This window comes from Homo sapiens, chromosome 5 (genome assembly GCF_000001405.40).
Source record: "Homo sapiens chromosome 5, GRCh38.p14 Primary Assembly".
NCBI classification, from domain to species: Eukaryota; Metazoa; Chordata; class Mammalia; order Primates; family Hominidae; genus Homo; species Homo sapiens.
The window spans coordinates 7,798,319-7,820,384 of NC_000005.10; the positions used below are offsets into that span (position 1 = coordinate 7,798,319).

Consider the following 22,066-nt stretch of genomic DNA (forward strand, 5'->3'; position numbering starts at 1 on the left):
GAGGAAAGCCAGGTTTGAGTATTCAGGGAGCAGGATGCAGCTAATAGGAAGCTGTCCTGCCTCGCAGCCTCTTCCTCCTTCCCCTCTTCTCCATTCTGGATGGTTTGGAAAACCCAGCTAGCAAGTTAGGAAGAGTGGAGGAGTGGTGGAGAGAGAGTAGAAACCAACTGATCCCCCTTCTCCACTTGCAAAAGGCCCACACTGGGGAAGGGCACAAGCCACAGGTACAACGAGGGCAAGAGTTTTGACTATTTCTTTTTTTTTTCTTTTTTTTTTTTTGAGACGGAGTCTTGCTCTGTCACCCAGGCTGGAGTGCAGTGGCACGATCTCGGCTCACTGCAAGCTCTACCTCCCGGGTTCACGCCATTCTCCTGCCTCAGCCTCCCGAGAAGCTGGGACTACAGGCCCCCACCACCGTGCCTGGCTAATTTTTTGTATTTTTAGTAGAGACGGGGTTTCACCATGGTCTCAATCTCCTGACCTCCTGATCTGCCTACCTCGGCCTCCCAAAGTGCTGGGATTACAGGCGTGAGCCAACGCGCCCTGCCAAGTTTTGACTATTTCTTGGACTGGGGCCTCTAATTATGGATGAGAGGACCTTGCATTACACACAGTGACATGCAGGGCCACAGGGTAGTCCCGAGTGTTCGTCCAAGATGGGGAAGATCTAGCCACACTCCAAAAACTGAAAGGGGTAGTGGCCACAGAAACGCAGTTGCTTTGTGATTATTTTTTCATGCCTTGAGCTTGTTCAACAGAATGGTTACATGTGAATGAATGTTGAGGAGACGTCTAAACTCACTTTCAATTCTAAAGCTCAGTAATACTTTTGGGTAGCCATATGCTGACATGGGTCACCCATTCTAGACCTTGAATTCCAAATTATCTTCAAAGGCTGCCCACCTGCCCTACTCCAGCCCCCAGGTCCTCTGGAAGTCTAAGACAATCTCAGGTCATCTACCAGTCAGCATGCAATCCTCTCTGGCCCCACACCCAATGCAACCACATGAGGGAACCTCTCTTGAGTTCAGTGCATGGTTCTCAGCCCTCCAAGTTTCACAGGCTCCAGAGAATTTCAGAAGCCTAGAAGTTTCCCTGGTTTCCCAGTAGTTATAGTCTTATGGAAGCCCTGAATCTGAGGACCAGGTGAGCAGTGACCTGAGCTCACCCTGGGCATTCCCTCAGAGCCTCAGAGCTTCCAAGAGACCACTCTGCCAAAGAAAGTGGGTGATCAGTTTGTAGTCCAAGCTCCCCAGAAGCATTCACGGCCTGCAGAGAATGCAGGGATTGGTCCTGGCCCTTCCCCTTAGCCAGCTGAGAGCCTTGGTGGCAACCGCAGCTCCCCTGAGCTCCATTTCCTCACGTAGTCTGTCATTCTTAATCAAGGCTGAACAGCAGAATAACCCAGGGAACTTTCCAAAACAATGCCTGCGCTTGGAGCCCAGCCTAGGGGATGAGGGTCGTTTGGTCAGTGGGGAGGCCCAGGCACCTGCCCTCTGGGAAGTCCCATTGGAGATTCTCCCGTGCAGCCCCATTTTGGTCCTGTGTAATGAAATGACATGTCAGATCCAAACTGCCCATCAGTTCAGTCTTGCATTTCATCATCTCCAACTCCCAGACACCCTTAAAGACTCCAGAGGAAAATACAAAGGTAAAGTGACAGGACCCGCAAGTGTCAGAGGACCTGTGCTACCCCCAAACTGAGCAGTGAAGCCCATGATCATCCCGGAGACTTGATCAAGTATAAAGTATAGTATTTACACGGGTGGATTCTACTGTCAGACTTGATAACTCCAGCCTCGGGCAAGTAATGTAACCCCTCTGTGCCTCAGTTTCTTTATTTGTAGATGGAAAACTCTAGTACCAGCCTCACAGGGTTGTAGTTGTGGTGAGTTCATGCACTTAAAGTGTTCAGAGAGGTGCCCATCCTACCATGTGGTGAGCGCTCAGTAAGTGCTGGCTATTATTGTGCTTATTCTTGTCATCATTATCATTCCCCAAAGAGCACTCTGGACAGTGTCAGCAGAGAGTGGGGAAATGCAGGATATAGAAAATATGTCCTTGGCTGGGTGCGGTGGCTCACACCTGTAATCCCAGCACTTTGGGAGGCCAAGGCGGGTGGATCACGAGGTCAGGAGTTCGAGACCAGCCTGGCCAACATGGTGAAACCCTGTCTCTACTAAAATAAAAAAAATTAGCTGGGCATGGTGGTGCACACCTGTAATACCAGCTACTCAGTAGGCTGAGGGAGGAGAATCGCTTGGATCCGCGAGGTGGAGGTTGCAGTGAGCCAAGATCACGCCATTGCACTCCAGCCTGGGCAATAGAGTGAGACTTTGTCTCAAAAAGAAAAAAAAGTATGTCCTCCCCTGGCTAGATGCACCCTTTTCCTCAAGCACAGGGACATCAGTGGAGTTTATACCATTTTTATAAAACTGACATTTTTAACTCACACAAGATCCTAGGGGGTTCTCATCCCTGTTCTCTGACCCCTGGCTGCAGTCAGCATTGCCAGCGCTGTGCCTTGGCTGTCATAGGCTGTCTACCGAGGATATGAGTGTTCACAAAGGCAACTTTGCAGAGAGAGAGAAAACACAATTCTGCACAAGAAACCAGCACAATCATATTGAGCACAAAATAGAAAAGAAAACCTTGATTTCGTTGTTCATGTACTTTGTACAGATCTTGAGGCAGTAGTAGGGATTACAGAGTGGCTGGTCCTGAGAACCAGAAAAGGACACGAGTCCATCTTTTTCTCAAAACTGTTGTGGCCTTCACCTGGGTTGCCCTGGCTCTGATGGGTTTGTGACGGGACCTCCCTGGGGAAAGAACAGTTCCTCTGAGGTGCCACCAAACCTTGGAGTTATAATACTATTTAAGTGCTTGCTCTCTGCAAAGGAGTTCATCTGGGTGCCCCAAAGAGCAGGGCTTACTGATAATGTTCATGTAGAATGGATTCCCTCGCCCTGCCAGACACACAGGAAGCACCAACCATTTTTCCCTCCCCTCAGAGGTCAGCCATCTTGTTTAACAGAACTCTCCTCACCTTTCCTGGAGAAGAAAGCATTTCCCATGCTGCACTGCGTCCACAGTGGCCCCGGCTAGTCTGCCTGTGTTAGGGCCATCTCAGGGGTCTGAGGACCCCTTGCCAGTGGAAGGGCAGATCCTCCACACCTAGGACTAGCCCCCAAGACCACCTAACAACTCTTCCTTTCTGGAACCTTCATTGAATTCGAAGGTGTCACTGTGTTGGGAAAATTATGGAAACACCTTGAAATTGTGTTTACAAGACACTGCAATTTAACTCATGTCTGTGGATAAAGAACTATGAGCTTCTTCCTATTTAAAAACAAAAGAATATCATGAATAAATATAGTCAGTGTCTAATATAATATAAATAAGTAGACTGAGGAGCTCTATTGGTTCTTTCTGGTGTAATAAGAAGTAACTTGATGAATTCCATACGCTGTTTTCAGGAGACACTGAAGAGGAAAATTCATCAAGACTCCCATCCAAATACTATAGCCATAATGAGTTATTTCAGGACAATCTGAGAGTTTGGGAAATTATTTTGTTTCCCTTCAGTTGTTGAAAGGACACTTTTTACTAAGCCAGAACTCCGTGGTCTGTTGTCATTGTCTCAAGTCAATATGACAGAGAGGTTTAACTGGCAAGGCACCTCTTCTTAACTGGTAGTGGCCTGAATCCAGCTCATTAGAAGCTTTCCCCTGAGAGCAGCGGCAGCATCTGGATTGGGCCGCGGCTGGGGTGGGGCAAGTGGAGTAGGCATTTGGGCGATGTCTGTGTGAATCCTGGCATAAACAAGCCACTTGCCTGTGGAGTGTTTCTGTTTAAAGGTCAGTCTCCTAGTGATCAGCTCTTGCTTTTCTCCCAAGCAGGAGCTATACCACCAGTCCTATGACTGCGTCTGCGTCATGTTTGCCTCCATTCCGGATTTCAAAGAATTTTATACAGAATCCGACGTGAACAAGGAGGGCTTGGAATGCCTTCGGCTCCTGAACGAGATCATCGCTGACTTTGATGATGTAGGTACTGAGAGTTGCCCTCGAAGGGCAGCAGTACACTCAGTCTCACACCTGTGCACTTGAAGTTACTTCAGGATAGTGGCCTATCCCAAAAAAACTTGTCCTTTGGCATAATTTCTGGCAGATGGCATTAAAGCCTTTTGCTTTATTTAGGTCTCTGACTAATTTAAGGTAGACAAATACATTGTATTTTTGAAGCTGGTATGACTGCTAGGAACAGCTACCAAAATCTGTTAAATCAAATGTGTATCCAGTGTGCTAGTGGATTCTTTACAAAGGCTTGAATTCGCGGTAAAATACTTGCCCATCCCTTTCTAGATAAAAAGATAATGAATTATAATAGACTATTGGTGTGTCTGTGCCTACTTCAATGCCTTTGTCAGATATCAACTTGCACTATGCATGGATGACATTTTCTTAAAATTATAATCTGTATGGGGGGATAATACAACATACTTTAGGAGGGACAGAGTGTCTGTTTTAGAATTTGAAATAGATGTTATTTTTCAACTTTCTACATAGAGAATAGTGTGTTCTATTTCCCAGTAAGAACAAACGCCCCTCTGGTTTAAGGATATTGCAGCCACACTATTCTTATCACTATCTTGCAAAATAGAAGAAAATTGACATCTGTCCAGGAGCATATGTTAATGATGATTCATGGAATTTTGAAATACAGTGATGAGATTACATAACACGGTGGTTTCAGGCAAACCTCCTAAATGTCTTGTGGGCCCTGTGCACTTTCTGTCACCACCATCATCACTGTGAGGTTGATGCTAGATATTCATGGTGACGTAATGACCGTCAGCGATTACCACTGTGATCCTGGGTGCATCATGACAAATAGCGGCTGGGGGTCTCAGCTGCTCCTCAGTGAAATAAACATTCCCCAGTACTAACGAATGAGTGACAGTGGATATGTGGATAGGTGATACAGGGATTTGCTCATCTGTCTTAAATTATTAGATATGTAATCCTGGAGGAATCTCCTCTGAAATCAAGAGATCCAAGGGAGGGGCAAGAAAACGCTCTTGGTCTCCGGTCAGCGCCATTTGAGCCCTGCCCTCCTGAGCGGGTATAGACCTTCCAGGGCATCCTTCATGTTCAAGCCCATTCCTCTTCCTTCCTACAGCTTCCGTTCTTATCCCTACCTTTCCTCCATCCCAGCTGAAAGCCTAACTCAGCAGATTAAGGAGGAGTCAAGTGGGACGCTGATAACTAATTCCAAGACAAGAAATAGTAGGGCTCGGGCCAGCTGTGGTGGCTTGTGCCTGTCATCCTAGCACTTTAGGTGGCCAAGGTGGGAGGATCGCTTGAGCCCAGGAGTTTGAGACCAGCCTGGGCTACATAGGGAGACCCTGTCTCTGCAAAATAATTTTTAAATTAGCTGCACATGGTAGTGTATGCCTGTGATCTCAGCCTCTTGGGAGTCTGAAGCAGGAGGTTCACTTGAGCCTGGAAGATGGAGGCTGCACTGAGCTATGATCACACCACTGCACTCCAGCTAGGGTGACAGAGCAAGACTCTGTCTCGAATATATATATATATATTTTTATATATATGTGTGTGTGTATATATATACACACACACACACATGTATATCGTATGGCTCCTCTTCTGTCCTGCAAACAGCAGACTTCTCACTTCTCTTAGGCCTCCCATGGAGGGGGGAAAGAGAGAGAGAGAGAGAGAGAGAGAGAGAGAGAGCTGGTTTCTCTTCCTAATACATATATTAGGCTAGGGCTGATGACAACCATTCTAGATCTTTATTCCATCCACCTCAAGCACTCAGAGGGCAAAAGCCAGTCCTCAGCACTAATAATTGATCATAAATCATTCTGACCATGCAAGAAAGAGCTCACTCATTGAATCATAATTTTATATTTATGCCTTTCAAATACATAGTCAGGAAATTTATTCAAGCCCATCGTCATTTGCATCATAATTCATCTTGGTTCCTTCACTAGCAAAGTTTGAACGCTAATTCGTGTTCCTTGGAAGTAAATCATTATGCTGTACTTTCCTCCAAGGACATGCGCTGTATGAAATACAAGAAGTTTTCATTCCTGGAAAAGCCCAGGGCCCAAGGGTGCATACGCAGTGGTTGAAACAAGTCACGGCATTACTGTGAACCAGCATTTGAGAATGTCTCTATAAAATGCTCAGCTTCAGGTCAGCATCCAGCTGAGTAACTGGACGGTTGTCATTGCTTCACAGCTTCTTTCCAAGCCAAAATTCAGTGGAGTTGAAAAGATTAAGACCATTGGCAGCACATACATGGCAGCAACAGGTCTGAGCGCTGTGCCCAGCCAGGAGCACTCCCAGGTAAGACGCGTTGGCCACTTAACGGCACAGGTGAGCCTCAACCCCATCCACAAACCACCCTGGGACCAAAACAGCCATGAAATGCCCCAAGAACTGTATATTTTGTACAACCTAAAGCTCAGGGTCAAGGTCCTATGAGAGAAGATGAAAATTCCAGACTTCTTAGAGCCAGAGGATCTGTTCACAGAACTCCTTCTGCTGGCCAACAGGAGAAGAAAAACCAATCAGTAGCTGCTTGTTACCAGATAAATACACAATGAAGTAGAAGATGAAAGCTAGTTATTTGAAGGAGACTCAGTAAGAATGGATCCAGGTCTTTTGATTTAAAAGAATATAGTCAAGGCCGTGTGCGGTGGCTCACGTCTGTAATCCCAGCACTTTGGGAGGCCGAGGTGGGTGGATCTCTTGAGCTCAGGAGTTTGAGACCAACCTGGGCAACATAGTGAAACCCCGTCTTTACCAAAAATACAAAAAAAAAAAATAGCCAGGTGTGGTAGCATGCACTTGTGGTCCCTGTTACTCAAGAGGCTGAGATGGGAGGATGGTTGAGCCTGGGAGGTGGAGGTTGCAGTGAACTGAGATCGCACCACTGCACTCCAGCCCGTGTGACAGAGTGACACCGCATCTAAAAAATGAATTAAAATAAAATAATGTGGTCAAAAAACAAGTTGGCCACATGGAAATTTCATTGAAAAGGTCATTTGGGCAAAATTGAATATCTTCAATCAACTAAGGTTTTCGAGATTTTCTCGTGTGTGTGTGTGTGAGAGAGAGAGAGAGAGAGACAGCATGTATGTAGACATGCTTGTGTAACTTGTTGGAATATTAGTAAAAAAGACCTCCTTTCCCCTCAGGACAGTGGCCTTTGCTGTGGAGCCTGCCCTCTGCTGGGCAGACCACAGAGAAACTGCACTTACCAGAACACACTTTCTGTGGACAGGCAGGTTCTCAAAGAGAAGAAGGGTTGAGTACCATGTATGAGCCCCTCTCCCATAACCACCTCCCATGGGAAGAGTGAGAGTGGGGAGAGAGGCAGCAGGCACCATAACAGAGCTCCCTCTTCCAGGAATATCATGAGAGGGTCCTAGTTTCCCGCTTAACATTCATGCATTCATGGGCAAAGAGTAGAACATGGATAGACGTCTGACTCAAGATGGAACCCTAGCATTCTTCCAGTTAATTGGAGTGATATGTATTCCATTGGTTCTCCTCTTCAGGTGGTTGCCTTCAGATTATTATTTTTTAATGAGTATGCATTACTTCAGTAATAAAGAAAATAAAAGAAACAAGCCATAAAAGAAACCCCAGAAGAACCTTGCCTTTGAATTCTGAGCAACACCCTCTCAAGCCATCATGGAGTCTGTGGCCAAAGGAAAACTGCTGTATCCTCTGCATGGTGTTGTAGATTTTTAATGGTTAGGGTTTTTTCCAGAACATTAAAGTGTTAAAAAAATTGAAAAAATGTAAAATCGAGATATTAAAATGTACAACATTCTTTTAATTTTAAATATTCTATTTATAACCCAAACCAGAACTAATTACAATTTTAGTTTCCTGGCTTTCATGGAAACAAATATATGCTCCTCCAATGCCTTTAATGTTCTGGAAAACATTGACCATTAAAAAAAAAATAACATTAAGACATGTATAGAGACAGGCATTTTTCTTACTGCCTCAGGCTCTAAGATGCTCAGCACAACACTGTCAGGACCTATGTGTCTTAGTCTGCTTGGCCTGCCAGGCAGAATACCACAGGCTGGGTGGCTTAAATGACAGAAATTTATTTCTCACAGTTCTGAAGGCTGGGAAATTCAGGACTGAGGTGCTGGCTGATTAGGTGTCTGCTGAGGGCTCCTCTTCTGTCTTGCACACAGCAGCCTTCTCACTTCTCTTAGGCCTCCCATGGAGGGGAGAGAGAGAGAGAGACAGAGACAGAGAGAGAGCTGGTTTCTCTTCCACTTTAAAGAGGGCACCAGTTCCGTTGGATCGGAGCTCCACCCTTATCATCTTAGTTGACCATAATTACCTCCTAACAAAGCTCTGTCTTCAGTACAGTCACCTGGGAGGTTAGCACTTCAACATATAAATTTTAGGGAGGACACAATCCTGTCCACAGCAGTATCTTTATTTAAAATTTCATTATTTTAGTTCATCTTGAATTTTTCTGCATTGATTTTGATTTTTAAAAATATTGCACTAGCATATTATTTCTCATGATTGCTGAGCTTCTTTCTCCTTCTGAAGTTTCTCTCCTGAGGTGAGTGCCTCACTTACCTCACCCTCATCCAGTTATGACTTGGAGGCTTCTCCAGCTCATCTAATGAGGGCCATCAGGAGCACTTCACCTGATCACATCCACTCCAGCCCTTTGCTCTTGGACAGCCAACTAACAATACTTTGGCAGGGCCTCGGAGTGGGAGATCTTCCGAGGCACCACCACATGAAGACCTGTTCCACAATCAGTGTCACTCTACAGCCCAGGGTGCGTGTCTGCCTGTTCTTCCTGACCCTAACTCTGCCTCCATCAGACCCAGTCTTCTGGATGTTCAAGAAAAGTCTCCAGGTCTTTTCTCTTCCTTTCCGCAGCCACGCTTTATAGACTGAGAGTCCATAGCCACTGCCTTTATCTTTCACCTTCTACTTTCTCTCTACACCTCCACAATCCTGCCTCACCAATGCCATCAGGAACTCTACTCTTAATGACCAAAAAAACACTTCCAGATTCCAAAATTCCAGTCCAATCACATTCTCTGAGCATTCGTCCTAGGTGACGCCCTGTCTGTGGATGGCCGTTGCCTTTGCCTGGTAATCCTCCCTTGGCTTTTGAGCCCTTCCATTGTCTGGCCCCAGCCTGTGCTCCCTCTGTGTGGGACATTGTAATATTCTTTCCCCAACCCCTCTTCTCTATCAGGGACCTCTCCTAAGACTTTATCTATCCCCTCTGCACATTCGATCTCCACCAAAACCTCTATCCGCTATCTTGACCATTGGGCCAGACTTGGATCACTTCCAGCTTCCTATAGACACCCTGCTTTCTAACACTACTGCCATTTTCTTCTTGTCCTCCCCACTTTGGAAACAGGGCCCCAACCCTCTGCCTCAGCCTACTGCCCTGACCCATCCCCTACCTCTCCCTACAGTCTCTACACCAGCCCTCAAACATGCATGTGCTTTTGTGCAGACCAACCTGGGTCCTATCCACATCCTCTCCAGGTATGGTGCACCCATGACCTGTAGCAGCACCACCTGTGGTGGTTGTTACAGTGGTTTCCAGGGACAGCCTCAAGCCTGCTGTGTCTCTGGGGTGGGCTGGGGACCCCCATTTCCACTAGTTTACCGAGGTGATTCTGATGCTCACAGAAGATGCCCTGCCTGGTCAAGGAGCCTTTCAGAATCTCACTCATCAGAATGCCAAGGCTCCAACTTTCACAGAAGGCTTTCCCGTGCCCCAACCTGGGGAGCTTTGCCTTACCTAGCTGTCTGAGTCCAGATCTTATTTCCTTTCTTCACTGTTTGCTACCTGTCATTTTCAACTTTCCTGGAAGTGTGTGTATGTTTCTTAGCCACCATCCAGACTATAACAGGTGCTATGTGTTATGCAGTGGCCTTCAAAGTCCCCAGCAGGGCCTTTAAATGATCACCCGTGTTTGTTCAGGGAGTGATTGCATCTGTGCCCAGTCCACCTCCCAGACAGTGTTTAGCTTCCTTCACTCTGTTTTACAAACCTGCCACTTCCAATGCAAACCCTCTAAATTCTTTCCCTGACCTTGTTGAACCTTTACTGAATGGCTCCTGAGCCCTTACAACAAGCCTAGGAGGTAAGTAGTAAAACTCTTTGCCCATTTTAAAGATGGAGAAACTGAGGCACGGAGCAGTCAAGTAACTTTCTCCATGTTCTAGGGAAAACAAGTAGCCATAGAGTAGGGCTCAGACCTGGGTGTATCTGTCTGTCCAGAGCTCCACATGGCAGCCTCTCTGGTGCTGCTTCCTGTTGTCCTTGGCTCACCTGCCCCTCCACCAGCCCCCACCCTTTCCTGAGCATCCCTGCACCCCTACATTTGTATCTATCCTATTCATTCATCGCTGCTCCCAGCCCTTTAGCAAATCCCTTGCCAGGAGCCCCATTCCTCCACCCTCAGCTGCCCCAGCAATGAAACTTGTCTTCTTAGTTATCATTGAATGGCTTACTGACTTCAAACCCAGCCACTGTTGTTAACACATGACTGTTTTCAGGGTAGAGTTGAAAGAGCATGACTATCAAATGAAACTGCTTATTACTTACTATTATAGCTAAGTGTTCTGCACTTCTGTTACCTTACGCATGAAATGGTGATCACGCCCTTTGCATGAGGCTGTTGAGAAGACTATATTTAATATGCAAAATACTTAATCGACTCCATGGCCATAGTAAGTAATAAAAATGCTAACAGTAATAATAATATAGTTGTGGTTTGTACCGTGTTTTGCATATTGGTACCATTGCTGACTCAAATAGAACAGAGATAAGAGTTTTAGGACATTGAAATATGATATGTAGTCATATCCATGGAGGGAAATTCTCTCAGTACTGTATGTGCTATTTGTGATTAGAGCATTTAATTAGATTCTTTATAAGGGCATCCTAGAAATATTTTGAAGTGCAATGAATGTATTCTGAAAGGAAAGTTCATTACAATTGATTTGGGGAAAATAACATACCTGATAAATATTCATGCTAATATTAGTTACTTTTATAAGAAATGAATGTCACTTTTACCTTTTGTAACCTGCCCAAAATGGGCTTAAGCCTTTGCTTCTCTAGTTATGAACAAAATACTTTCTATTTATTGTTTAGCCAAATCTTTAGTCTGGCAACAAAAGATATTCAGTTACAAAATATATAGGGTAACCCAAGGAATAATGTCTTTTTCTTAAATCCAAAAAGAGGCAAATTATCTGGGTAATGGCCTTTTGCAGTTTAGCCTTTATTTGTAATTACCTTGGCATTTTCTGTTTGCAGTAACAACATACTTACCCATGGAGAAACAAGTGCACAGAAGTATATCAGCACCTAGTGAGGCAGGGCTTTTGTGCCTGGCTCTGTTTTGCCTCATTTGTACTTTTTAAATGAAATGATCCATTCTAATTTTAAGCTTAAGTCAACAATGTGGCTAAATGGTTGCATTACATGTAAGAACTGATTGTTGTTTGTAAAAGAAACAGGCATTTGTCAAGAAAGGAAATATTAAACTGGAAATGGGCTTTCATTCATTCCCTGAGCACACTCCCTGAGGTGTAGACACCCTGGCTTGGATTTAGTGGTCGGTAGAAAATGAGAGTTTGCCCATCTCAATGGCCCTTCGTTTTGCCCTCAAGACCTCACTCTCTTCTAAGCCTCATACCTGCAGCCCCTGCTTGTTTCTTTCCATGGACTTTAGAGAAAACTGGTGGCTGTGGTGTGTTCTCCTTGACTTGTAGAGTTTTGCTTTTTTTTAAAAAGGATATTTTGCTGGAAAATGATCCAGGTACTCCTGAAAATTGATGGGTTATCTACCTGATTGGTGGGTTATCTTCCTGATTGATGGGTTATCTACCTGATTGGTGGGTTATCTGCTTGAATGGTGGGTTATCTACCTGATTGGTGGGTTATCTGCTTGAATGGTGGGTTATCCACCTGATGGGTGGGTTATCTGCTTGATTGGTGAGTTTTCTACCTGATGGGTGGGTTATCTGCCTGATGGGTGGATTATCTGCCTGATGGGTGGGTTATCTACCTAGTTGGTGGGTTTTCTGCTTGATTAGTGGGTTATCTACCTGTTTGGTGGGTTATTTTCCTGATTGATGGGTTATCTACCTGGTTGGTGGATTATCTGCTTGATTGCTGGGTTATCTACCTGATTGGTGAGTTACCTACCTGGTTGTGGGCTACCTGATTGATTGGTGGGTTATCTACCTGATGAGTGGGTTATCTACCTGAGTTATCTACCTGGTAGGTGGGTTATCTGTTTGATTGGTGGGTTATCTACCTGATCTTCATCCTGATGACAACAGCCAGCTGGAGCATAGAAGCAACTGTTCATTAGACTGGGAGTGTTCTCTCCACTACTATAGTCCACACCACTCCCTATTGCCTCATTCCTTCTGCTGCACTCCAGAGCCTCACCTGTTCCACATCTGAGGGGCTTTTCAGATGTGGAAATCTGCCCTAATCAAAGATTAGAGATAACTCTGGTCTTAACAAGTATGTAAATAGTTTTGATCTTTTTCAAACAAATTTTTCTAGGAACTGAAGTCAAAAGCAAAGTTTAGGGAAGGAAACTTTCATTCAGACCCATGCTTTGATTGTAGTATTGCTGTAATATGCAGTACCTCTAGCCATTACTCACAGTTTCTAACAGGTTGACACCCATTTCCCCCAACAACCTGGAAGGAAAGAACTTGTACTCCCGGAACAGACAGGGAGGGGAGGGCAGGGGAGCAAGAGGAAAGGGGGGCTGTTCTCCAGCAAGGTGTCAGCACTGGTGTTGCTTCTATTCTTAAAAACATCTGGGCCGGGCGCAGTGGCTCACGCCTGTAATCCCAGCATTTTGAGGGGCCAAGGCGGGTGGATCATGAGGTCAGGAGATCGAGACCATCCTAGGTAACAAGGTGAAACCCCATCTCTACTAAAAATACAAAAATGAGCCGGGCGTGGTGGCAGGCGCCTGTAGTCCCAGCTACTCGGGAGGCTGAGGCAGGAGAATAGTGTGAACCCGGGAGGCGGAGCTTGCAGTAAGTCGAGATTCCGCCACTGCACTCCAGCCTGGGCAACAGAGCGAGACTCTGTCTCAAAAAAAAAAAGAAAAAAAATCTGTGTTTTTGCTTTCTTTTCAATTATGTTATTTTTTAAAACAATTATTTTATCCAAATATTATCTAAAATAAATATATAATTTTAGTTACTTATTATATCTAAACAAATCCAATGGCAGGCCTGGGTTTGTGGGCTGAAGGTCATCACTAGTTCATAAGCGTGACCTCCTGCTCCACTGGCTCTTGCTGAATTTGCTCCATTATTCTGCTCCCTCCTTCCCCCAAATCAGACCCTAGTCTCCATCTGAGCCACCTCTGAGATTCCTACCCTCACCCTCCTAGTCTATTGGCAAAACTGAGCTGACAAAACAATGAACAGGAAACACTTGCTGTCCACATCCACTGACTCCCGAGGACCACTCCGAGTTAGGACCTTTATGTGGCTGCTGTGTCATCCAACAGACATTTTCTCTACTGACTGAGCCAAGTTCCAGGTACATGCTGGTGACTGCTCACAGAGTTTTACAGTCTGGGAGTGAACCGGGAGTACAAACAGCAATTCCTGTGTGAGGTGGGCACAGAGAATCTGCGAAGATTAGAGGGATCCTGCCAAATGGGCCAGAGAGGAAGCTAGGAGTCATACAGAGACCGTCCCTGCCAGTGTCATAGTAGTTAAGGGGTCCATTAAAACTAATAGCCCCAGTTCCCTTCACTGGTAAGAATCGAGAATAGCTTAGGTCTCTGTGGAAATGAAAAGCAAAAAATCCTAAGTCTGTGTATTTTTGTGCAAACACCAAAGCTGTCATGATGTGTCAGAAGAAGAGAGAAATTTCCTTCTGCTCTCATGCTGTTAACAGGAAACTCAAAACGGAAAGAAAATGAACTGTCCCTGTTCACTATACATACAGAGAATCTCAAAGACACTTAAAAGGTCAGACACCTTGGTCGTTGTTAAAGCTGTAAGTAAGAGGGAAAAGTACCACACTTAGCCATAAAACAATACTAGTATCTTCCTCCTAGGTGGCTGTCATGTCAAGCAGAGTGACATGCATCTCTACACTATCATGAAGGAGACTAAGACCCAAGACCCAGGGATGCAGGCTGAATGCATTGCTTGTATCCATTTATTCAATCTTAACTGAAACCCAATGAGGTAGGGAGTTGGCTGGGTGCAGTGGCTCGTGCCTGTAATCCCAGCACTTTGAGAGGCCAAGGCGGGCGGATCACCTGAGCTCAGGAGTGCGAGACCAACCTGGCCAACACGGTGAAACCCTCTCTGTACTAAAAATACAAAAAATTAACCAGGCTTGGTGGGCACACAACTGTAGTCCCAGTTACTCGGGAGGCTGAGGCAGGAGAGTGGCTTTAGCCTGGGAGGCGGAGGTTGCAGTGAGCCAAGATGGTGCCAGTGCACTCCAGCCTGGGCTACAGAGCAAGACTCCATCTCAAAAAAAAATAAAAGAAAGGTAGGGCGTTATTGTCCCATTTAACAGGTGAGGAAAACTGAGGCCCAGAGAAGTTAAATGACTCTACCAAGGCCACACAGCTAATGATTGAAGAAACTGGAGCTGAACCTATTTTTGCCTGATGCAGGCAATATTCCATTGGCAACCCTCTCCCAGGTAAGCTGATTATCACAGTATGCAGTTTTTATGCTCAGCTGGGAGAAGTCTGATGAGATCTCCTAGAAGCCCGTCAGGAGAACAGAATGCTCCTTAGATAACAATCCCCATTTATCTTCCAAATCAGATACAGGGGAACTTGAACACCAGAAGTTTTTCAGCATAGAACACAGGGCCAGACACATGACAAATGCTCAGTGAATATTTATGGAAGGAAGAGGGAGAAGAGAGTACAGAAGAGGAAGGTTATGTTTATTTTAGCCTAAAAAATTACCTCGGTTATTACCAAACAGACACTTGGGTTATAAAATCATCTTGGTAAACATGCATCTACTTTAAGCAATGTTCCTTGCTGGTGAAACTTCCAAAACAACCAGTTTATAAAATATGTTTCAGAGAACTGAGCGAGTAGTCTCTGTGTAGCTGGAAGCCCGTTAAATAGCTGGGGATATGTAACATGAATTATTCAGATAATAGGAGAAATAACTGCTTCATACTGCCATCAGGTATTTATCGAGACCAAACTTATGAAGACTTGTTGAAATGAATTGAGTTCTTCTAGAGACTGAACATAATTTTTTCTAGGATTTGCTAAGCCCAAATGACTTACTGATGTTGAATTAAACTTCATTCCCAGAACTCAATCTCTTCTTTTATTACTGACGTCACTTAAAACCTCCAGTTTAAACCAACTGTGTGAAAACAGATTGGGCAATAATTTCTCAAGGAGCGGAGCTTGTTTGCTGCACCTTGGTTTGGTAAAAAGCAAAATCATTTCTCCATGGCAAATATGTCCTCCTTACTTGGGCAGTTGTAATTTTTACTACACAAGATTTTGCTTGTTGATTTAACAGCTTGTGCCTCCTATTAAGGAGCAAGATGTTTTCCAACTGACTGCACAAGCCTCCAAATCAGGTTTTCCCCATAAGTCGTGAGACAAAAAAAAAAAATACTAGTGAGCTATGATAGAAAAGACTAACTGTTGTTAAGAAATGACATTCTGAAATTCCACCAAAGTTAGCTGACGGTCAACTTTGTAGCTCCAATTTTGTAGTTACATGGTTTTTCTCTCATAACTGTAAGTTGAGAATTTACTGCAATAGTTCTGTTTCCTTTGACTTTTTCTGGAATGATATAATTCACCTGAGGATAGGAAGATGTCTTTCCCTCTTGAACAGAGATTTAATTCTTCTTCTCCATTCATATTTATACTGTTTAGTGCAGTGATTCTCAACTGGGAGCAATTTTACTCCTCCCCCCGCCCCCCGGAGCATTGTTATTGTCAATGGAGACATTTCTGGTTGTCACAATGAGAGGTGAAGGATGCCCCTGCCGTCCAGTAGGCAGAGGCCAGGGATGGTGTTAAACACGCTGTGATGTGCAGGACAGCCCGCAAAGCAGAGAATAACCCAGTTCAACCCAGTTCAAGTGTCCATGGTGCCAAGGCTGAGAAACCCTGCGTTACTGCAATCCCCATGCACACTCCTTATTAAACACTGTGTGGAGCAGATGAATAACCCCTTCTTCATTTTCCTCTCCCCTTTAGCTACCACCTTAGTAGCAGCTTTTCTCTACCTTGCTGTCACCTTGAATAGGTGCTTATGTCTACAGTCTCCATCTATCTTCTCACCCGTCCCTTCTGAGTCACTGAGAGTTGGGCTTTCTCTTCACTTTCCGTAAAGGAAAGTGACCCAAGGTCAGCAGGTGGCTCCTCTTTGTCCCCGGACCTTTCTTCATCTCTGATTTAGCTCCCTTTGGGCTCCAACGCTCATCTCAGAAGTCACTGCCTAAGGCCCGCAGCAGCCCCAGGTTCCATTTCTCCTGGTCTCTCAGCTGTTTTCCAGCGTGCCTTGCTGGTTCCCCTCCCCCCGACCCATGTCCTAGCCCAGGGCATATTGCCAGCTCAACCCTCTGGTATCCCACTCTCCTTTCTTCCCTTGGAGCCCTCACCTGCTGTAGTGGGCACATTCACGATCCTTCCTGGGTGCGTGCTTCTCGAATGCACAGCGGTCAGCTTTGACCTTCCGCCAAAGCCTAACCAGTCCGTGTCTGCATTCCTCCCAGCCATTTCCTCTTGGTGATCCCACTGCCAACCTAAGTATAGTTATTCAATAGGCATTTATTGAGTTCTTCTTCTTTGTCAGGGACTTTATTCTGCTGTGGAGACACAGATTAATAGAGCAAAGTCTCTACCCTGGTGGAGCTCACAAACCAGTGAGGGATGCCGACTTGAAAAGACACAAGGCACTGGCTTCCGTGCTAACACGGACATCCATTCGGCCAAGCAGCCATGCCCGGCAGGCCTGGGACCGCATGTCATTGAAACCCCGAAGGCCCAGCAGCCCAGCAGGCAGGCTGGAACAGAAACCGTGCTCCACCCCACTTTGGTGCACAGAATCGTTAAGTATTGGGGGAGCAGAAACCTTCAGGACATTTAAAGGAATTAAATGAATTCTACGCATATACTAATAATGTAACAAAAAATAGAAACTTTTAAAAAGGTGAAATTCCAAATATAAATATAGTAAGTGCTACAAATTCATGTTAAATATAAACAGGTAACAGGAATGATAAACAGAAATTAATAGGAAATCTGCATAGAAATGTTCACTTCTTCCCACTGGGAAATCTTCAGGACTTCTCTCCTTCAGCTCTGTAATTCCCTCCTCCTCGTGGGATGACACAGCCCTCAAGGACGAGTAAATGAGGAAATTGTTACCCTCCATATTAGTTTGCTAAGGCTGCCATAACAAAGTACTGCAAACGGGGGACTTAAACCACAGAAGTTAATTGCCTCGCTGTTCTGGAGACTGGAAACCAAAGATCAAGTCGTCAGCAAGGTTGGTCTCTCCTGAGGCCTCTCTTCTCCCCCTGTCGGGCCTCTTTCCTTCCTCTCCTTGTGTCTTCACACGGCCTTCCCTTTGTGGGTGACTGGGTCCTAACTGCCTCTTCTTAAAAGGACACCAGTCATATTGGATTAGGGCCCACCCTTATAAGCTCATTTTATCTTAATCACCCCTTTAAAGACCCTATCTCCAAATATGGTCATATCCTGAGAGACTGGGGTTAGGACTTTAACATATGAACTTGGAGGGACACAATTTAGCCTAAAATCCTCCATTTCAAGGCCTAAGAGGGCAAAAGGAGGGGGATGTTCCCAGAACTAGAGAGAGCTGCAGTGCAGAGACAGTAGCTGCCACCCGGGGCAGTAGCCCTTGTCCTCCGTGAAGAAGACTGACCCCTGTGGAAAGCCTGCGGTGAGCAGGGAAGAGGAGGAACGAGGCCCCAAGCCTCCTCCCTGCTCTCTTTTTCCACTGCACCTCCCACTGGGCAATCGCCACTGGCAGCCCAAGGACAAGGAGCGGGCACCCCCTAGCGGTCAGGCCACCAGAGCCAGAGCCCCGCAGAGAAAGGCAAAGGCCGGCTGTGGAGGGGAAAGGAGGGAAGAAGGCGCCAGCCCCTCCTCAAAGCCAGCTTCCCTTGGTGATTTCTGGACTAATACGATACAGGTTCCCCGTGGTCAGCCTTAGCCCGCATGATGCGTTTGGCCTGAGGGGGCCTGAGACACGGAAGTCAGTGTCTTCTAGCACCTAACGTCTCCCCTTGGCCACACAGTGCTTCCTTGAGATGGGATTTGATTCTTATAGAATGTTTGCAGTGCCTTGTAGCATTAGAATTTGCCTGCATTCCTTTCTGCCTAAAGCTCAGGTTTGGGACAAAGGGGAACAGTTTCCAGCTGTGATGCTCTAACTTCCATCTGCCTGTGTGTGTTTGTTCTCAGGAGCCCGAGCGGCAGTACATGCACATTGGCACCATGGTGGAGTTTGCTTTTGCCCTGGTAGGGAAGCTGGATGCCATCAACAAGCACTCCTTCAACGACTTCAAATTGCGAGTGGGTACGTTCTGCAAAAGAGGTCTCGGTTTCAGTTGTGGCAAAGATGTGGAATAAGGAGTAAGTCAGGAGATATTGATGATCCTTTCAGTGTTGGAGTAGAACAATTACAAATGCATCCCGTTGCAAGACTGGATGACAGAAGGAAGGACACTTTTGAACAAATTAGAAAAAAAAAAACCCTTTGATTGGACCTAGGCTACCTGCACTCAGTCAAGGTCGCGTCTACAAACACGGCACGCACAGCCTTGAGCCATCCTGCGTTGCTGATTCACTGTGAGACATCCACTAAGAGCTGCTACATTATTTTATGGGCTGTTGCCAATTAAACTGGGACCTGCCACTAACTATAAGATACACCCATATTTCAGAGATGTAAAAATATTTTCTTTAAAAAAGTGGATCTTAGAATTGTTGCAATACAGTTCCATCTTCCTGGGGCCACAAGCTGTAAGAACACCAAATGTGTCATAGGTTCTGAAACAGCGACAGCTTTTCCGATTGTGTTCAAATCCTAGAGAAAAAAAAATCCAGCTTTCTTTATAATATTGTTAAAAAATAACCTTTAGGCCTGGTGCAGTGGCTCATGCCTGTAACCCCAGCACTTTCGGAGGCTGAGGTGGGAAGATCACTTGATTCCAGGAGTTTGAGACCAGCCTGGGCAACATGATGAGACCCCATCTCTACAAAAAATAAATTAGCTGAGCTTGGCGGCGCACGCCTGTAGTCCTAGCTACTTTGGAGGCTGAGGCGGAAGGATTGATTGAACCCAAGAGGTTGAGGCTGCAGCAAGCCATAATAGTGCCACTGCAATCCAGCCTGGGTGACAGAAAGAGACGCTGTCACCAAAAAAAAAAAAAAAAAAAAAAAAAAAAAAGTAACGTTTACTTGGTTGAAAACAAAGGCTTCCTGATTTCTAAATTTTTAACAGACTTTAAGTTGATTTTTTTTAGCATGTTTCATGACTTGCCTTTTACAAATTGTTGTTTTTTTAAATGTGTGTTTTAAGCCATCAAGTCAACACACAGCTTGGTTGCGATGTGTGCAGTTACTTGCAACCATTCAGAGTTCTAAGAGCTTCTTTGACCATTTTATGGTTTTCTTGGCAACACATTTTGCTTCTTCTGAGAGTCAGTTTATATAAGAGCAGTTCAGGCAGCAAATTCTATCTGAATGGTTTTTAACGCTCTCTTACATACAAATTTCAACTTTAAAAAGAAATCTGAATATTTAAAGCCATTTTCTTCCTTTGCTATGGGTATGTCCTGAATGTCATTTAAATCCAAAATATGTTACATCTCTTTCACAAATGAGATGTGTTTCTCCACTTGTACTATTAGTTGTCAGTGTTTAATCATATTTTTCTTTTTCTTTTTCTTTTTTTTTTTTTTCTTTTGTGAGACAGAGTCTTGCTCTGTCACCCAGGCTGGAGTGCAGTGGCACGATCTCAGTTCACTGCAACCTCCACCTCCTGGGTTCACGTGATTCTCCTGCCTCGGCCTCCCAACTAGCTGGGATTATAGGCATGTGCCACCACACCTGGCTAATGTTTGTATTTTTAGTAGAGACAGGATTTCTCTACTATTTATATTTAGTAGATTTAGTATATTTAGTAGAGACATGTTGGCCAGGCTGGTCTCTCACTCCTGACCTCAAGTGATCTGCTCACCTCAGTCTCCCAAAATGCCATATTTTTCTTTCTACTTTCTCAGTTCTGTGCATAGTAAACCCCTATCGGGGGCTCTACCTTACACAAAGATGAGATGACCACACCAAACATGGGCGTGTCCCTTTGACCCCAGAGACTCTACACTGTTTTGACAGCTTGGAAAATGGGCTCCTCAAATTTTGCTACTATACCTCTTTAAAATAAAAAAAAATGTATTACATGGGTGTATTAGGGTTATCTGGAGGGACAGAAATAATAGGATAGATGTATATATAAAGGAAAGTTTATTAAGAAGTATTAACTCACACAATCACAAGGCGAGGTCCCACATTAGGCCGTCTGCAAGCCGAGGAGCAAGGAAGCCAGTCCGAGTCCCAAAGCTAAAGAACTTGGAGTCTGATGCTGGAGGGCAGGAAGCATCCAGCACAGGAGGAAGATGTAGGCTGGGAGGTGAAGCCAGTCTAATCTCTCCACGTTCTTCTGCCTGCTTTTATTCTGGCCACGCTGGCAGCTGATCAGATGGTGCCCACTCACATTGAGGGTGGGTCTGCCTTTCCCAATCCACTCACTCAAATGTTAATCTCCTTTGGCAACACCCTCACAGACACACCTAGGAACAGTACCTTGCATCTGTCAATCCAATTAATTTGACATTTAGTATTAACTATCGCAATGGGAGAATGACCTCTTCTATTATCAAACTTATATAGACCAAAATCATATTGCCCTGCACTGCAGCATGGGACCAGAACGGCTATTTGCCAGTCATATGTGCTACCTCCAACGTGCCATTTTCCTGGTCTAGACTTCAGTGATATTGTTCAGATTCACGCGAACTGTTGAATGGACCTCCTTCCAGTGGTGTTTATTGACATTAAATGTCTACTTTACCCTGATTGTCCAATAACTGATAAAGTCTATACCCTCAACCCCATATATCAGCCTTGTTAGATTTCTAAGGAAGCCTGAACTCAACGTTTCACTTGGCCTTTGATTCTCCCTTTCCCCCGACCCTCTGTCTCTCCCAGGAGGGGACTTCCCTGCTTGACCTCCATGCACTGTGACATCCAGAGGTAGTTCAGGGATAGCAAAGTGGAAGAATAATATTGCCAACAAAAGCGATGGGACAAATAATGAGGTGAATTCACTCCTAGCATCCTTTTCAGCATATCTAGCTGTAGAATCAGTTGGAACCACAAATCAAGCACACTCCTACACTAACTAGAGATGGCCATGTTGCCAGCAATAATCAGTCCAGGCTCTTCCCCACCCCCAGAGCTGCTGACCAAGCAGGGATGAGCAGTGGCCAGAAGAAAAGCTGAGCTGACAGATGCAAGGCTGGAACCGCAGGCCAGTGTCCAGCGGCTGACCCCTGGGTGCTCTGACCTGTGCCAGAGCTGGAATAAATTATTTGAGATGCCTAAACCAGAAGTGTGTTTTCCTGAGTATGCCACAAAATCAAAGGAGAATTTATTTCTTACCTCTTCTGTACCTGCAAAGGTACTGCTTGGAACAGTATTGGGGCTGTTTCCTGACCTAACTTTCCATTGCAAAGGGGAAGCTTTGGCCTGGCGCGGTGGCTCACTCCTGTAATCCCAGCACTTTGGGAGGCCAAGACAGGTGAATCTCCTGAGCTCAGGAGTTTGAGACCAGTCTGGGCAACATGGCAAAACTCTGTCTCTACCAAAAATACAAAAAATTAGCCAGGTGTGGTGGTGTGTTCCTGTAGCCCCAGCTAC

At 45.2% G+C, this 22,066-nt stretch overlaps 1 protein-coding gene across 4 annotated transcripts in view, besides 4 other annotated features; it reads left to right on the top strand.

Annotated features, from left to right (window-relative positions):
* The window catches only part of ADCY2 (adenylate cyclase 2), a 433,944-nt gene that overhangs the window by 402,181 nt on the left and 9,697 nt on the right, over positions 1 to 22,066 (top strand). For 2 of the 4 annotated variants that reach the window (NM_020546.3, XM_011513942.3), the window contains 3 exons: positions 3,900 to 4,046; positions 6,267 to 6,374; positions 18,548 to 18,662. In NM_020546.3, coding sequence (NP_065433.2) covers positions 3,900 to 4,046; positions 6,267 to 6,374; positions 18,548 to 18,662 — 370 coding nt within the window. Of the gene's footprint in view, positions 1 to 3,899; positions 4,047 to 6,266; positions 6,375 to 16,910; positions 17,606 to 18,547; positions 18,663 to 22,066 lie in introns of those variants that run through there. The other 2 variants (XM_047416645.1, XM_047416646.1) reach the window with 2 other exon arrangements.
* Positions 16,518 to 16,812: a silencer, noted in NCBI's record as "tiled region #1766; K562 Repressive non-DNase unmatched - State 21:Repr". NCBI's record gives its function as "represses a minimal TATA promoter and a strong SV40 promoter by Sharpr-MPRA in K562 cells {active_cell/tissue: K562}" and the evidence as "EXISTENCE:reporter gene assay evidence [ECO:0000049][PMID:27701403]".
* Positions 16,882 to 17,419: an enhancer, noted in NCBI's record as "H3K27ac-H3K4me1 hESC enhancer chr5:7815313-7815850 (GRCh37/hg19 assembly coordinates)". NCBI's record gives its function as "activates a minimal SCP1, AML or CMV promoter by ChIP-STARR-seq in primed H9 embryonic stem cells {active_cell/tissue: H9 hESC(primed)}" and the evidence as "EXISTENCE:reporter gene assay evidence [ECO:0000049][PMID:30033119]".
* Positions 17,656 to 18,384: an enhancer, noted in NCBI's record as "H3K27ac-H3K4me1 hESC enhancer chr5:7816087-7816815 (GRCh37/hg19 assembly coordinates)". NCBI's record gives its function as "activates a minimal SCP1, AML or CMV promoter by ChIP-STARR-seq in primed H9 embryonic stem cells {active_cell/tissue: H9 hESC(primed)}" and the evidence as "EXISTENCE:reporter gene assay evidence [ECO:0000049][PMID:30033119]".
* Positions 18,385 to 19,112: an enhancer, noted in NCBI's record as "H3K27ac-H3K4me1 hESC enhancer chr5:7816816-7817543 (GRCh37/hg19 assembly coordinates)". NCBI's record gives its function as "activates a minimal SCP1, AML or CMV promoter by ChIP-STARR-seq in primed H9 embryonic stem cells {active_cell/tissue: H9 hESC(primed)}" and the evidence as "EXISTENCE:reporter gene assay evidence [ECO:0000049][PMID:30033119]".